The sequence below is a fragment of the Homo sapiens genome, chromosome 3 (genome assembly GCF_000001405.40).
Source record: "Homo sapiens chromosome 3, GRCh38.p14 Primary Assembly".
NCBI lineage: Eukaryota > Metazoa > Chordata > Mammalia > Primates > Hominidae > Homo > Homo sapiens.
The window spans coordinates 151,457,215-151,472,812 of NC_000003.12; the positions used below are offsets into that span (position 1 = coordinate 151,457,215).

General features: G+C 39.7%; 1 protein-coding gene across 12 annotated transcripts in view; it reads right to left on the reverse strand.

Annotated features, from left to right (window-relative positions):
• IGSF10 (immunoglobulin superfamily member 10) overlaps positions 1-15,598 on the reverse strand; it is a 187,494-nt gene that overhangs the window by 24,783 nt on the left and 147,113 nt on the right. For 5 of the 12 annotated variants that reach the window (XM_047448015.1, XM_047448013.1, XM_047448011.1 and 2 more), the window contains exons 1-2: positions 3,047-3,518; positions 1,302-1,496 (exon numbers count right to left, since the gene is read on the reverse strand). In XM_047448015.1, coding sequence (XP_047303971.1) covers positions 1,302-1,496; positions 3,047-3,261 — 410 coding nt within the window. In that variant the 5' untranslated portion in view covers positions 3,262-3,518. Of the gene's footprint in view, positions 1-1,301; positions 1,497-3,046; positions 3,519-3,731; positions 3,848-15,598 lie in introns of those variants that run through there. The other 7 variants (XM_011512709.3, NM_001385060.1, NM_001385062.1 and 4 more) reach the window with 6 other exon arrangements.

Below are 15,598 nucleotides of genomic sequence, written 5' to 3' on the forward strand. Positions count from 1 at the left end.
CATAACCAAAATAAACACAAGAAAACTCAATACCTCTCTTTATAACTGTACTCTATTGAGACAATCAAATGCTTCAAAAACTGAAATTCACCAGATGCCACAGAAGGTCGGCTCTCTACCCAGTTCTTGCCATTTCAGTTACAATCACCCCCCTCATATTCTGGGAACTTGTCACATTTCTTATCATTTTCAAACTTTTATATATATGCTGTTCCCTCAGGTTGGAATGCCCTTGACCTCACCTTTTTCTATTTGTGAACACTTAATATCTAGCCCATTCTTTCATGACACTATCTCCTCACCACTCCCCCAGGTGGAATTCGTCAGCAGTGGTTAAGAAGCCTGGGCTCTGGAGGCCAGGCTTGGGCGTCTCGTTTGGGTATGATTACGAGCTCAGGCTCAACAGAGTAGTGGTACAACCCTGGGTAAAATCAGCAGGCTTTCTGTGCCTCAGTTTCCTCATCTATAAAATGTAAATAATAGAACTCACTCCAAAGGGGTTATGAGGATTAAATGGATGCAGTGCTTAACCCAATGCCAGCACCTACTGAGCACAACCTTAATGTTAGCTCTTAATATTAGTGACTGTCTCTAAAACACTTTGTATGCTCTATTAGTTTTTATTAATTGTACTGACCGTACATTTGTCTGGTCTTTTTAACGATCAATACACATCCTAGAAGTGAATAGTATATCTTACCATTGTATCCCCAGTGCATAGTACATGCTCACTAATGTCAAATAAACGATGCTAAGTCCAACATGTGTATTCAGACACACACAGACTTTTTTTTCATGAACGTTTAAAATACAGTCATATTTTTAAAAATTTAATTAGGCATCCATTTTAAATAAGTTTGTATGGAAAGAAACCAAAGGGCCTATAAAAAGGATACATATATATATATATGTATGTATGTGTGTGTGTGTGTGTATTATATAGGCAGACACTTCCAGTTACCCTGTCATCTCTTATGATGAATGATCATAACCCCAATAGTTAACAGAAACTATATCATTTTCCAGCAAAAATGTAGCCAGAAAGAAGCTTTTTACCGTCATGAGTCTCCCAACCTACCAAGAGGGACTTCAAATTCTAGAAGAACTTTCTCCTAATAAAAGTTTACCAGGAAAAGTTTTCTTATTGCCCCCAACAAACAAAATTCTCATGAGCTCATTTCAGAAAAGAAATATTGTTAAAACAATTGAGATTCATCTCCCAAAGTCATAGATGTTTGAGGGACAAGTCACTGCTGCGACTGATCCCTCTTTGAGAAGAGGAAACATGAGGTCTCACACACCCTAAATTGATGCGTTCCACATTGGGCGGGATGCTGTCTGGGATGGAAGTCAGGTACCGAAATGTGCAGTGTACCTCCGTAGGCATATAACAGGCACAGCGGCGAGGACAGGCCTTGCCCCCAGGGGTGGCGACCAGGCAGATCACAGCAAAGGAGACCAGCAAGCAGGTGATTCCTCTGCCTTTTACCTTCATCCTGAAAAAACATCATACCTCAGAGTTATAAAGAGTGGTGGAGCAAAGTCCCAGGACCACCACACACTCACTCTGGGAATCTGGGAGACCTTCTTTAAGGGTCGTAAGTGGTCAATTCCATTCCTACCCTTTGTGGTCATATGCACTCTTTACAAAACTATAGTGTGTGCTGCTGGCCTCACACTGCGCTTTATGATCAAGTGGGATATTTACTGTTGTGAAAATTTCTTCACAGCTTCTCACTTCTTTATGAAAACCAGCAATCCCTATTACTCAGGCATTCATTAAAAGGGAAACTGGAAACCATAAGAAAGATTGTGACAACTAAAATATATAGAATTTAGTTTCCTTTATATACATTAATTCTTTTAGAGTAACTTTCAAGAAACTGATTATAACAGTAATATCTGTGCATAATAAAACATTTGGAAACTGTAATTAAGCAGTAAAAAGGAAAAAAATTACTCAATCTCACCACTTATATAATCCTTAAACATGTTGTTGTATTCCTTTCCAGCCTTTTTCATCTATTGTGTGTATATGTATAGGTGTACATACATTTACGTGTATATGTGTACATGTGATCAAACTCAATTTTGTAACACATTTTATCATTTCATATATAATGTTTTTTCATTTTATTAAACCTTCTTCAGAAACATTTTTTAAAGGTTGTAATAATCCACTGGAAGGGAGAATAAATCTCTTTCTAACCGGTTTTCAAGTCCCTGCCAAAAAAAAAGACACATTGAACACTTCACTGCCAAGTAATGACCATAAGCAACAGCGACTGACCAGCTGAGAGGGCTTGAGCCATGCTGACCCTGTGCAGGCATGATGCTGTCTGCTTTTGCTCAGCTTCGGACATCTCTCTGCCTTTTTCCTTGGTCCCTCCTCCAGCTCATGGCTGCCACAGGAGGTGGGGAGCATAACCAGGGAAGAAATATGCTCAGCTTGTCAGAAAAAAAAAAATGGTATCTGTTACCCATATGTGGGGCAAGCCCAGGAATTCAAACCTAATTCTCTCCTGAAATGCAGGATTGAAATAAACTCTTTATTGTGCTTTTCCAAGCAAAATGACCTTCATAATTTGTAATAAATCCCACCGTTCTGTGGAACAGCATGATGTTGGATTCCACCAGCAACCACCCTTTAGCTACAAACTACACTGAGAAATAACACTGGGGCTGAACTGCTTGGATTTTCATACAGATAAAAAGATGATGGATGTATTATTATAATTTAGTCCAAATTAAAATTTAAGATAGGATTAATCATATGACCACTTTTGCCATCGTAACCACCTGGTTACAATAATTTTAAATAAGCTTTGTATGATTGGAGACAGCATTTCCACCTTATCATTAGATAAACAAAGGAAGGAACAGCAGGATGAAGGTAATTCTCTCGTTCAGCTTAAATAAAAGTTCTGGGTATGCCCACGTTCAAATTATTTAAAAGAGGATCAATAGCATAAGACAACACATGAATAAGGGATTCTCACAAACGTAAGGCTGAAAATGTACATAATGAAATAGGAATTGGCAATACCTGAGCTCTTCTTTCAGGTCCTGAGTCCTCTTGTGACATAGGCAGAGACAGAAAATCTTCCCAGGAAATGGAAAATTGTGTCCAAACCTGAGGGAGGAAAAGTTCTCTGCTCCAAAGTGAGCAAAAAGCCTTATTCTTTTTGGCTTACAGCCAGGAGTAATGCTCTTCAGGGAGACCTGGAGCCGCTTCCACAGCTTCAAAGTTCTATAACTCATAACCACATTAACCCAGAAGCGTTCTTTTATTATGATGCTTGCTGTTGCAGAAACAAAAGGCTAAGTGGAGGTTTTTAAATTTCCTTTCTCCTCCCTCAGTAGTGTACTTAATACTCCTTAAAGTTATCACTTGAATATTAACTACTACTAATCACTCCATTTTGCTCCAAAGTCCCAAGAGCTTCTCCTCAAATTGTCTTTTTTGGACAAATCTGTCACAGATGTCTCCATCTATTGATTGTCTTTCCTCAGTGTGTGTTTTTTTTTTTTGCCTGGCACCAGTCACCGAAGAATTGTCGTGTGCTTTCATGCCCCCACCTTCTCCGGGTGCGTCTTCCCTCCCCCACCCTCAGCCCTCCCCGCCCCAGCGCCCGCTTCTGCAGCCACGGTACTCGCTCCATTCCCACGCCAAGCCCCAGCCGGCGTGGGGTTCCAGCCCTTTCCGGGGAAGGATTGGCCGAGGCGCTCACCTGTTTGCCCTGGTGACCAATGGGCTCGAGCTGCCCGGGCTAGGTCCCGGGCTCGGTCCCGGGCTCAGCTGCTGGGGTCGTGCGGAGCTGGTCCGGAGCTCTGGGAGGGAAGGAAGGAAGGCGGAGCGAGGGCGGGGGATGAGCCCGACTTCTGTGTCTGGGGACGCGGCCGGGGCTCAGCAGCACAAGGATGAGAAACGACCACCGGGCCCCTCTTTATGTTTACGAGCGTGTGGGAAGCTAATTCGCCGTGGCTTCACTCTTTAAATTCCCAGGGCTTTCTCCTAGCAAGTTGGCAGGTCCTGGCTGGGTGGCAGAGCAGTTTCAGTGGCCGCCCGTTCATTTCCTCCTTGACCTCTTCCACCTGTTGACAGGTGGGCCTTTTGGTTTAAGGGTTTACGTAAATCGCCGCAGGCTGTCCTTGGTCCTGTGGCTCCCAAAGTTCTATTTGAAGGCTAAGTTAGCGTTAATGACCTGTGATACCTGCAGTGTCAATGTTTTATTTAAACCCCTCTTTTAAAAATAAGTAAATTATATTGCGTATATTTAAGGTATACAACATGTTATGGGCTATATACAGATAGTAAAATGGTTACTATAGTGAAACAACATATCCATCATCTCACATAGTTACCCCATTTTTGTTTTTGTGACACGAGCAGCTAAAATCTACTCTTTTAGCAAGAATCCCAAATACCATACAATTTTATTAACTATAGTCCTCTTGCACATTAGATCTATATAAATGTATGCTACTGTGTATTCTCTGATCTACATTTTTCCATTTCCTTTCTCCAACCCCTATAACCACTATTTAATTCTCTATCTCTGTATAATCGACCTTTTAGAAAAAGATTTCACATATATAAGTGAGATCATACACTATTTTTCTTTTGGTTTCTGGCTTATTTCACTTGGCATAATGTCCTCCAGGTTCATCCATGTGTGACAAATGGCAATATTTCCCTTTTGTTTTTTAACTGCCAAACAATATTACATCGTATATAGATGTCTCAGAGGAATTCTTTTAAATCATTATCACAGAACCGGATTTAAATACTACTATTTCTGCTTGGATTACATTCTCCTTTCTCATCTCCAACCCTACCATCTGGAGGCAGAGATGCCTCCAGAATCACCTCTACCAACTTGCCCACATGTAATATCTCCTGCAATTCTTGGTGGGGCTCCCAATACTCATAAACACTGAGTTAACATAACTAAAATGACCTTGTTTCCTTCCACGTAGTTACATAGCACTTAAGCTTTTGATGACAATTTGCAATGAATGTTTTAGGGCAGTGGATCTCAAGATAGGGTCACGGGTCCAGCATCAGCATTACTTTGGACTTCGTTAAGATCAAAAATTTGCGGGATCCATCCCAGACCCACTGATTCAGAAACTGTACGAAGGAGGCTTAGGAGTCCATGTGTTAACAAGCCTTCCATATGATTCTGATGCAGCTACAATGTGAGAATTGCTGGTTTAGTGAAATAACTTCTGAAAAATGTTTTACAAATACCAACTCATTTCAGCCTCACCATAGCACCAAAAAGCCTAAAAGGAAAGTATTTATGTTATTCCCATTTTACAAGTAAGGTACATGAAGGAAAGTGACAGAACTCCAGGCCATGTGGCTTGTGAGTAGAAAAGCCGTTAATTCAAACTCAGGCAGTCTTGCCCTATGGTCTGAACGTTTAACCATAAAGTTGTGGCTGCCTCACTTAGCTAAACATGGATAATGTGCCATATCCCATGCCGAGCATTCATGTGATTTATGGTTAGTAATAAGTCAGTTACCAAAGTAGAATTATAGAATCAGAGACTCAGAGTTAGAAGTAACCCTAGAAGCATGTATATGAACATGGTCTTTAGCTCTGCAGAGCTGACAAGATTCTTTTAAATTAAAAATTCACGTGATGTCCAAACTTGGATGCTTGCTTTGGAAATGTGGCATATTTGTCGGGTTTTGGCAGCCACAGTTTATCTTTCTCCCAAAGCTCCTTGGTGACCAACCTCATGGCTTCGTATTCTTTAGTCAATTTCTAACCCAGGTCTGGACTTCCAGACCTCAACTAGGATGAACCACAGAAAGATGACAGCAACATGTTAAACTTATTTTCCTAGGCTTGTTACCTGGGGTCATTTTCTTGCTATCAATTTCAAAGTGAACTCCTGATAGGAATGTTTGCTTCTCTTAAGAATTTTTATGAGATAAATCTCTACAATTGCTTTATGTCAGAGCTCTTCTCTGACGTATTTTCTACTTTTCATGTCATCTTCCAGAATTATTAGAAACCTGAGTCATATTGGCACCAATTCTAGTTCCATTTGCTCCACTTAATAACAATTCTAATATTTGTAATTACTTTTATAGTTAGAGTATATATGTGTCAAAGCCTTTATATGTATTGCTTAATTCTCAGAAATATTCTGATGAGTAAGTGCTAAAATTATACCAGTTTTTCAGATGAGATTGCTGAGGATAAAGAATGCTAAATGATTCAGAGCCAAAATACAATACTGAATTAATTTTAAAATTGTAAAACCAATGCTTTTAAGCCTTACATTTTCTGGTTTTTTTTTTTTTTTTTTTTTTTTTTTTTTTTTTTTTTCTGAGACGGAGTTTTGCTCTTGTTGCCCAGGCTGGAGTGCAATGGCGCAATCTCGGCTCACCACAACCTCCACTTTCTGGGTTCAAGCAATTCTCCTGCCTCAGCCTCCTGAGTAGCTGGGATTACAGGCACATGCCACCATGGCTGGGCGCAGTGGCTCACACCTGTAATCCCAGCATTTTGGGAGGCCAAGGCGGGAGGATCACCTGAGGTCAGGAATTTGAGACCAGCCTGGTCAACATGGTGAAACCCCGTCTCTACAAAAATACAAAAAAAGCCTTATATTTTCTATCTTCTTCCTGCTTCTATTTATAAAATTTGGAGAGTCCACAGCATATCAAAGAAAAGTTTCACCACTCTTTTTTCTAACCATGCTTAATAATGCAATATGTTTCTATAGATTCATATGGTTTACAAATCACTTTCACCTTTGAACATGGCCTCATTTAATAAGAAATATATGAAATTCAATGATAATGACTTTATTTTGTAATTGTAACTTTATTTTGCAGAAGTTAATTGAGTGTATAATTTGCCAAGATCTCAGAGCTGAGCATAGCGACTCTGAGTTAATTGTCAATCTGAACTCCTAAACCTGTGTTTCCTGGACTACGGTAATTTACCTACGCTTTAAGGATGGTTTGACATTTTAATTACCTCTCACTATAGTTTTACCTAATGATTTTCTTTAAATCCTCCCCCTCTTTTTGTTACTCTTTTCTTAAACAGTATTGTTGGTAAATTCTCAGGCTTTGTATTTTTTCTAGTAAACACGACAATAAATATACATCTTCTTCACCTTTTATATCACCCCTGAGAATTACATTTCCCCTCATCTCTAGGTCTTTGACATTATTTGCTGTCTTTTCTAGTAATTACTACTTCTTACTCCTCATCCTTAATTTATCATCCATACCATCCTTTACATCACCCTCCTAATCAGAGTATTTATTTAACACCAATCAACCAAGCGCAAGCAGTTACAAGTCATAGATCACCTGACAATCAGAACAAGCTATGAATTTTAAAACTGACTTATATATGTGTCAACAGATAACCAAATGCCAAAATTGTTACATATCTTTTAATCAGGCACAATCATTACCACCTCCCAGCTCCACAATTTTCATATTATTCAATTAACCAAACAGTCAAGACCTCCACTGAGTGATTCCAATAGCAGTGAAGTAGACTGACATCTTAGCCCTTCCTTTTTTGAAGTTACAGACTAGCACGGTAAGTGATAAGTGCCATGAAGAGACATAATGCAGGAAAAGGAGGTAGAAAGAAAATCAGTATCATCTTTCTTCCAATACAGTTGCAACTCAACCAACTAAAGTCAAACTACATGACTTGAAGACTTTATATATAGTATTCCAGATCTCTAACCTTTCAGAGCTTTCAGAACACCATGTATGGGTACAGTTTTGGAAGATGTGGAGAAAAATTTGAAGCAAATGCATGGTCCTCTTATAAGTCCATGGACTCTGGATTATAGGAAATAGAAAAACTACCTAGGAGGCAATTATAATAGTCCAGCCTTAAGACAATGAATTAAAGTGGTGGTTGTGAGAATAAATAAAGATTTTAGATCTGGAGGAACAAGAGTTAAGATTTTACTTAGGGAATAAAAGAGAGGATGGATGAATCTCACATTTTTGTTAGTGACATCCAAGGATCCTAGGAAAGCCAGGGCTGAAGTAGATAAAAGTTAGAAACCTGATATAGATGCAAACCTGAGAGAAGACTAAGGCAGAAGGAGCACAAGAATGACCATTGTTGTTGTCAAGAGTTTAGAAATAGGTGCCTGAAGAGCAGCTCTGCTGACTTTAGTTTTGTACTCTGGTCGCTGTAAATGCTCTGTGTTGCTTTTATGATAAGTATTGTATCAAAAGCCATTGGTTGAGGTTTGCAGAACTCACCATGATTTCTTAAGCCTGGGTAGGAGATGCACCTAAGAGATTTGAGAACTCTTCTAGTTTCTTCTTCTTTTTAATGAAAAGACATTATTATTACTTTACTATATAACATATTAGTGAATACGGCAGCTTGTATTTTCTCAAATGGGAAATGGCAAATGAGGCACATTTTTCTGATTTCTCCAGGAAGCTCAGTATCATCTGTCTTTTGGAGGATTTAATTTCTTATGACATCTGTCATACTATCCAGAGGATACCAATGGTGCTGTTACAGCAAACTAAATATGGCCTGAGAGGGACGTTGTACTTCTATATTTGAGTCCTTGTGGATGAACTGTAATCTAATTTAATCGGTAGACAAGATTGAAAACCTAACTTAGGAATATGCACCTGTAACAATTGCTGAGTCTTGGCCAATCCTAGCAGTCATACTTCAACCACTCATGCACTGCTGAGTGTCAAACTGTGTTCAAATAAGGCAAATGCCAACCTGTAACCAATCCAGCTGTTTCTGTACCTCACTTCTGATTTCTGTATATCATTTTCCTTTTTTTGTCTATAAATTTTTTCTGACCACGAGGCATCCCTGTAGTCTCTCTGAATCTGCGGTATTTCTGGAGGATGTCCAATTCATGAATCGTTTTTTTCCTTGTTCAATTAAACTTTGTCAAATTTAATTTGTCTGAAGTTTTAACAGATCTGGCATCAGAAGTGGGATTCAAAGTAAAACTCTGGCGACCCCCAGAAATACCAGGTGACCAGGCGAGGTACCCGCTGAGCCCATTGTGCTCACTGTTCTCTTGATTGTAAATGGAGGTCATGGGTGAGTTTTCTCTCAGATTCTGAACTCCAGTAACTTGTGTTTTGGGGTCTCTGAGTTTACTTGAGCAATACTTAGACTGCACCGAGTCTAAGATCAAATTGGATTTGATAATTAACTGGATTGAATTCAATTAGAGGCCTTGGACCTTGGGTAGGTACTTTATTTTTAATAATGGAATTATCTCAGTCCAAGGAGTCTGGGACTCCACCTTCTGGAACTCCAGCTAATTTTATGTATAAAAATTATGGGCCCAGCACGTGTTTTTGTTTTGTTTTGTTTTGTTTTGTTTGTTCGAGATAGAGTCTCACTCTGTCTCCCAGGCTGGAGTGCAATGGCACAATCTCAGCTCATTGCAGCCTCCACCTCCTGGGTTCAAATGATTCTCCTGCCTTCGCCTCCCGAGTAGCTGGGACTACAGGCACCTGCCACCATGCCCAGCTAATTTTTGTATTTTTAGTAGAGACAGGGTTTCACCATGTTGGTCAGGCTAGTCTTGAACTCCTGACCTCAGGTGATCCACCCGCCTCGGCCTCCTAAAGGGCTAGGATTACAGTAGTGAGCCATTATGCCTGGCTCAACGTGTGCATTTTTAGAAAAATGGGTTAACCCCACTAAAGAGAACTTAAGATGGTCGAAATGAGGAAGTTATAATTTGGAAAAAATTGTGTATTTGTGAGGCATATTGGAAAAAGACTATGTCCCACAGAAACAGTGGGACATAGTCTTTCATTGGTATGCAGAGGTCTCCAAAAGACTAAATGAATCAAAAATTAACTCCTTGAAAGATTCTTTGCAAAAAGCAAATGGAAAGCTTAGGCACCAGACCAAGGACATGACAAAAGAGGGCTGTGCTCTGACTGAACTAACTTCGACTGTTTCTTCTCTTTATCCATTTCTGCCTATATACTGAGTCCACTAACCTTTTTGCTAAATTACCCTTTCACCCTGAAGATGATGAAAAAGAGGAAGTTAGATGCCTTACAAAGTAAGACCTGATCAGCCAGGCCTGTCTGCTATAACTACTTTCACTCCATGGTCTAAAACTGAGCTTAAAGTTTTGTGAAGGACTTCCCTTATTCAAGGGAAAATCTCAAAAATTTACTGAGGAATTTAGAATCCTAATAGGAGCTTACAAGCCAGGGCTTCCTGACCTTTACCAATTTATTCACATGATATTAGGGCCTGATGAAGCTCAAGAATGGATGGCAGTAGCAGAATGGGACAAACCTGAGGAGGGTATTAAAGACCCCTCCAAAAGCTCCTCATGAGAAGGACCAAAAGTAGCTAGAAAAATGGCTGAGCCGGGCGCGGTGGCTCACGCCTGTAATCCCAGCACTTTGGGAGGCCGAGGTGGGTGGATCACGAGGTCAGGAGATCGAGACCGTCCTGGCTAACGCAGTGAAACCCCGTCTCTACTAAAAATACAAAAAATTAGCCGGGCGAGGTGGCGGGCACCTGTAGTCCCAGCTACTCGGGAGGCTGAGGCAGGAGAATGGCGTGAACCCCGGGGTCAGAGCCTGCAGTGAGCCGAGATCGTGCCACTGCATTCCAGCCTGGGCGACAGCGAGACTCCATCTCAAAAAAAAAAAGAAAAAAGAAAAAAGAAAAAAAGAAAGAAAAATGGCTGAAAACATTTTACATTCAATTTCTAATATTTTTCTGCAAAAAGTTGATTAGTCTGTCATACAATCTTGTAAACAAAAACAAAAGGATGAACCAGTTTGAGATTACAGAACTCGCTTAGAGACATTGTTTGTGAAACATTCTGGGCTTAAAGTACGGCAAGGAGTATTTCCTGCAGGGACTGAAATAGCATTAACTGCTCTATTATAAATGGACTCCGTCCTGAACTTAGAAGTTTAATTAAAAAACATAAGCTTGGATGGGAAGTTACAGATATGACTGAATTGGTGGCTTTAGCTGAACATTTTGAGAGGACTCTAGAGCAAGAAAAAGCTCAAAAAGCTAACAAGCTGACCCTTCAGTTACAATGGCTACAGGGGCTGCGACCAAAGGGACCTTTCTCATTCTCATTTTAAATCACAACCGAGAGATCCTAGAACAAGAAATTCTTTACCCCAAGATATCTGCCTTTATTGCAAACAACCAGGGCATTGGAAAAGGGATTGACCGCTTTTATGTAAGAGGTCTGCCAATAAGCCTCCCTTTAGGCTGAACTGTTTCTCCACTAGAGGGAGCCCAAGAGACCTTAGCCCTCCTGATAATGGCATTGACGGGGCTCCCAGGGATTCTCTACTAAATTGCTCCCGTAATACCTTTAAATGAACATGGAGAAACAGGTTAAAATAAATGGGGAGTCGTGTACAGTCCCGATGAATACTGGAGCTATTCTATCTACCATAAACCCCACTTTAATAAGCCAGTAAATCCCTAGAAGTAAAAAGGGTCATTTTTGTGAGGGTTGTTTGTATTTTTAAAATTTATTTTACGTTCCAGGATACATGTACAGGACGTGCAGGTTACATAGGTAAATGTGTGTCATGGTGGTTTGCTGCACCTATCAACCCATCACCTAGGTATTAAGTCCTGCACCCATTAGCTATTTATCCTGATGCTCTCCCTCCCCCTGCCCTGCTGCCTAGGCCCCAGTGTATGTTGTTCCCCTCCCTGTGTCCATGTGTTCTCATTGTTCAGCTCCCACTTATAAATGAGAACATATGGTGTTTGGTTTTCTCTTCCTGCATTAGTTTGCTGAGGATAATGGCTTCCAGCTCCACCCATGTCCCTGCAAAGGATATGATTTCATTTCTTTTTTATAGCTGCATAGTATTTCATGGTGTATACTTACCACAGTTTCTTTATTCATTCTATCATTGTTGGGCATTTGGGTTGATTCCATGTCTTTGCTATCGTGAATAGTGCTGCAATGAACATATGCATGCATGTATCTTTATAATAGAATGATTTACATTCCTTTGGGTATATACCCAGTAATGGGTTTACTGGGTCAAATGGTATTTCTGTTTCTAGGTTTTTGAGGAATTGCCACAGTCTTCCACAATGGCTGAAATAATTTACATTCTGTGGTGGGGGTTTCAAATCAAGTTCAAGACATTCCTGTATCTGAACCCATCCAATTAACATTGGGGCCCTTTTCAGAAAAATATACTTTTGTACTATGTGATGCTGCTCCAGTAAACTTGTTAGGGTGAGATTTACTTTCAAGTTAAAAGGGCATGTAAACCTTCTTCAGAGTTTCCTGATTCTCCTGAAGCAGAATTGTTATGCTGTCTACAGAAATAAATTGATAAGATAGAAACTCAGGCCTGTAATACCCCTGATCTCTCAAAAATACTTGAATGTTTATGGGCCTCTTCCCCAACTGATATAGGAAGAATTAAAAGTGTGCAACCTATGAAAGTCCAAATAGATCATCCTAAACCTTTGCCTAAATTACCCCAATATCCACTAAAATCTGAAGCAATTCAAGAGCTCTAACCAATTGTAGAAGATTTAATTAAACAAGGACTCATACTCCCATGCAGGAGCCCTTGTAACACTCCAATCCTAGCAGTTAAAAAGCCAAAAGGATGAGGTTGAAGATTTGTTCAAGATTTACAGGCAATAATAAAATTGTAATACCAAGATTTCCCGTAGTCCCAAATTCTAATATTTTATTATCTAATGTACCCACTGATTCCAAGTGTTCACAATAATAGATCTCTGCTCAGCCTTCTTTAGCATTCCAGTTTATAAAGAGAGTCAATACTAGTTTGCCTTTACTTGGTAAAATCAGCAGTACACTTGGCCTGTAATGCCACAAGGATTTACCAAAGCCCTTTCTATTTTTCCCAGGCATTGCATCAAGACTTAATGACACTACAGTTGCCTCAAAATTCTACTCTCATTCAGTACATAGATGAATATATGCTGTCCCACTAAGGAGTGCTCTGTAATGGACTCAGTTTACCTTTTACAGCAACTTTCATACAAAGGTCACAAGGCTTCAGTGGAAAAACTTAAGTTTTCAAGGCAAAAAGTCCACCATTTGGGATGTGACTTGGCTGCTGAAGGAATTTCCCTCTCAACTAAGAGGATAACAGCTATTCAAAGTTTTCCTTGACCTGCAACCAAAAGACAATTAAGAAGTTTTCTTGGACTTGCAGGATGTTGCAGATTCTGAGTTCCAATTTTTTCCTTAATAGCTTCACCATTGTATGAGCTCACTAATAATGCTATACCAGAGCCTTTACCTTGGGAAGACAGTCATGAGCAGGCTGTTGGCCAAATAAAGTTGACCTTACAACAGCCCTCATCTTTAGGACTTCCAAATTACACTAAACCTTTCACCTTGTTTGTTCATGAGTGTAACAATCAGGCATTAGGAGTCCTTGCTCAAGAACATGGTGGTGAACATAGGCCCATTGCATACTATAGCCTGCAATTATACCCAGTCACTAAGGCATATCCTAATTGACTAAAAGCAGCAGCAGCAGTGGCCAAACTGGTAGAAACTTCATCAGATCTTGTTTTAGGAAATGAACTTAATTTGCAAATCCCACACGCTGTGTAAAGTCTATTAAATTCCAACCAAACCCGCATTTTTCAGTAAGCAGACTAACATCTTATGAATTACTTCTCCTATCTCCTTCTAATCTTCATCTAAAACACTGTAATCTACTTAACCCTGATACTGTTATCTCTGCCCAATGATGGTGAAGACCACAATTGTGTAAGTGTAATGATATGATTTAGCTCTGTGTCCCCACCGAAATCGCACCTTGAATTGTAATAATCCCTGTGGGGATTATTGAATCATGGGGGTGGGTCTTTTCCATGCTGTTCTCATGATAGTGAATAAGCCTCATGAGATCTGATGGTTTTATAAAGGGGAATTCTCCTGCACATGCTCTCGTCTGCCACCATGTAAGACGTTACTTTGCTACTCATTCACCTTCTGCTTCCCCAGCCATGTGGAACTGTGAGTTAATTAAAAACCTCTTTCCTTCATAAATGGCCCAGTCTCAGGTATGTCTTTATTAGCAGTGAGAACAGAATAATACTTGTAGTGTCAGAAATAGTGGCCCTTCATGTTGATTTCTAAGACACTCCACTGGATAATCCTGAATTAATACTTTTTTATTGATGGATCCTATGTCAGAAACTCAGAAGGAAAATTTCAGGCAAGATACACTGTTACTACCCAAAATGAGTTAATAGAGAAGGGAACTCTTCCTCAATTTAAGTTGGCCCAACCTGCAGAGCTTTTTGCCCTCACCTGAGTTTGTCATATAGCTAAGGACAAGTCAGTAAATATTTATACAGATAGCAGATGCGCTTTTGGAATACTACATGATTTTGGAATGATATAGAAACTATGAGGGTTTTTCACATCTAGTGGAACCCCCATCAAAAATTGACTCAAAGTAGATGAACTCTTTTCTGCTATCCTTTTACTATTGCAGGTTGCTGTTGTTAAGATTGAAGCTCATACTTGTAGAACTGAACTTGAAAGTCAGGATAATGCTTTAGCAGATGTTTATGCTGAATCAGGTAGTGCTGAAACTGTTAAGATATGCAATCTGAATGAACTACATAAGATTAATCCAAGCCAGCTTCCTTACGACGACTTATTTAATAAACAATGCAATGCATCTCATTTGGAAAAACAAAATTGGTATCTAAAAGGATGTAAATTTAATGTAAAGTGCAGACTCATAGCCCAGATAGCTGCCTGGTGCTTCCTGAGTCTTTGAAGCTTCCATTGTTGAAAGCTCTGCACTCCACAACTCATCATGGAACAGACAAAATGATCCAATTATGAAAAAAATACTGGTGGGGTGACTTCCAAAACTGCTAAAATGGTTTATAACCAGTGTTTGACTTGTCAAAGCAATAATCCTGGAAAAACAATCAAAGTTTCAGGTAATATATGTCTACCACCTGATGGAGTATTTTAGCATTTACAGATAGACTTCATTCAACTGTCACCCTCAATGGGATATCAGTATATTCTTGCAATAGTTTGCATGTTTTCTGGTTGGATAGAGGCCTTCCAATGTAGTAAAGCTGATGCTGTGATAAGAAATTAGAAAATCTTTTTCCTTTTTTGGGGGATCCCTGGAAAAATCTTCCAGTGATAGAGGAACTCATTTTATTGGGCAAGTTATAAAGCAGTTAAATAAGGTGCTACCAATGCAGCGGCATTACCATTGTCCCTACCACCCTCACTCTTCTGAAAAGGTTGAAAGAACAAACGTCATATTAAAACTGCAGTTGGCAAAGTTAACTGAATCAATTGGGTTGCCTTGGCCAAAGGTACTACCTTTGGCTTTAATGGCAATCAGATCCACTTTTATTGGAAAACATAAGTTGACCCCTTATGAAATAGTCACTGGAAGGCCTCATGCTTCTCCTGCTCTCTTAAATTCTGATATAACTAAGTACTGCAAGGCTTTAATGCATTATGCCAAAGTATACTTTTGCCAGGTAAAGGAAACTTTTTGAGATCCACTAACTGAGGACAATCAGACCCTCCCCATGGTTTA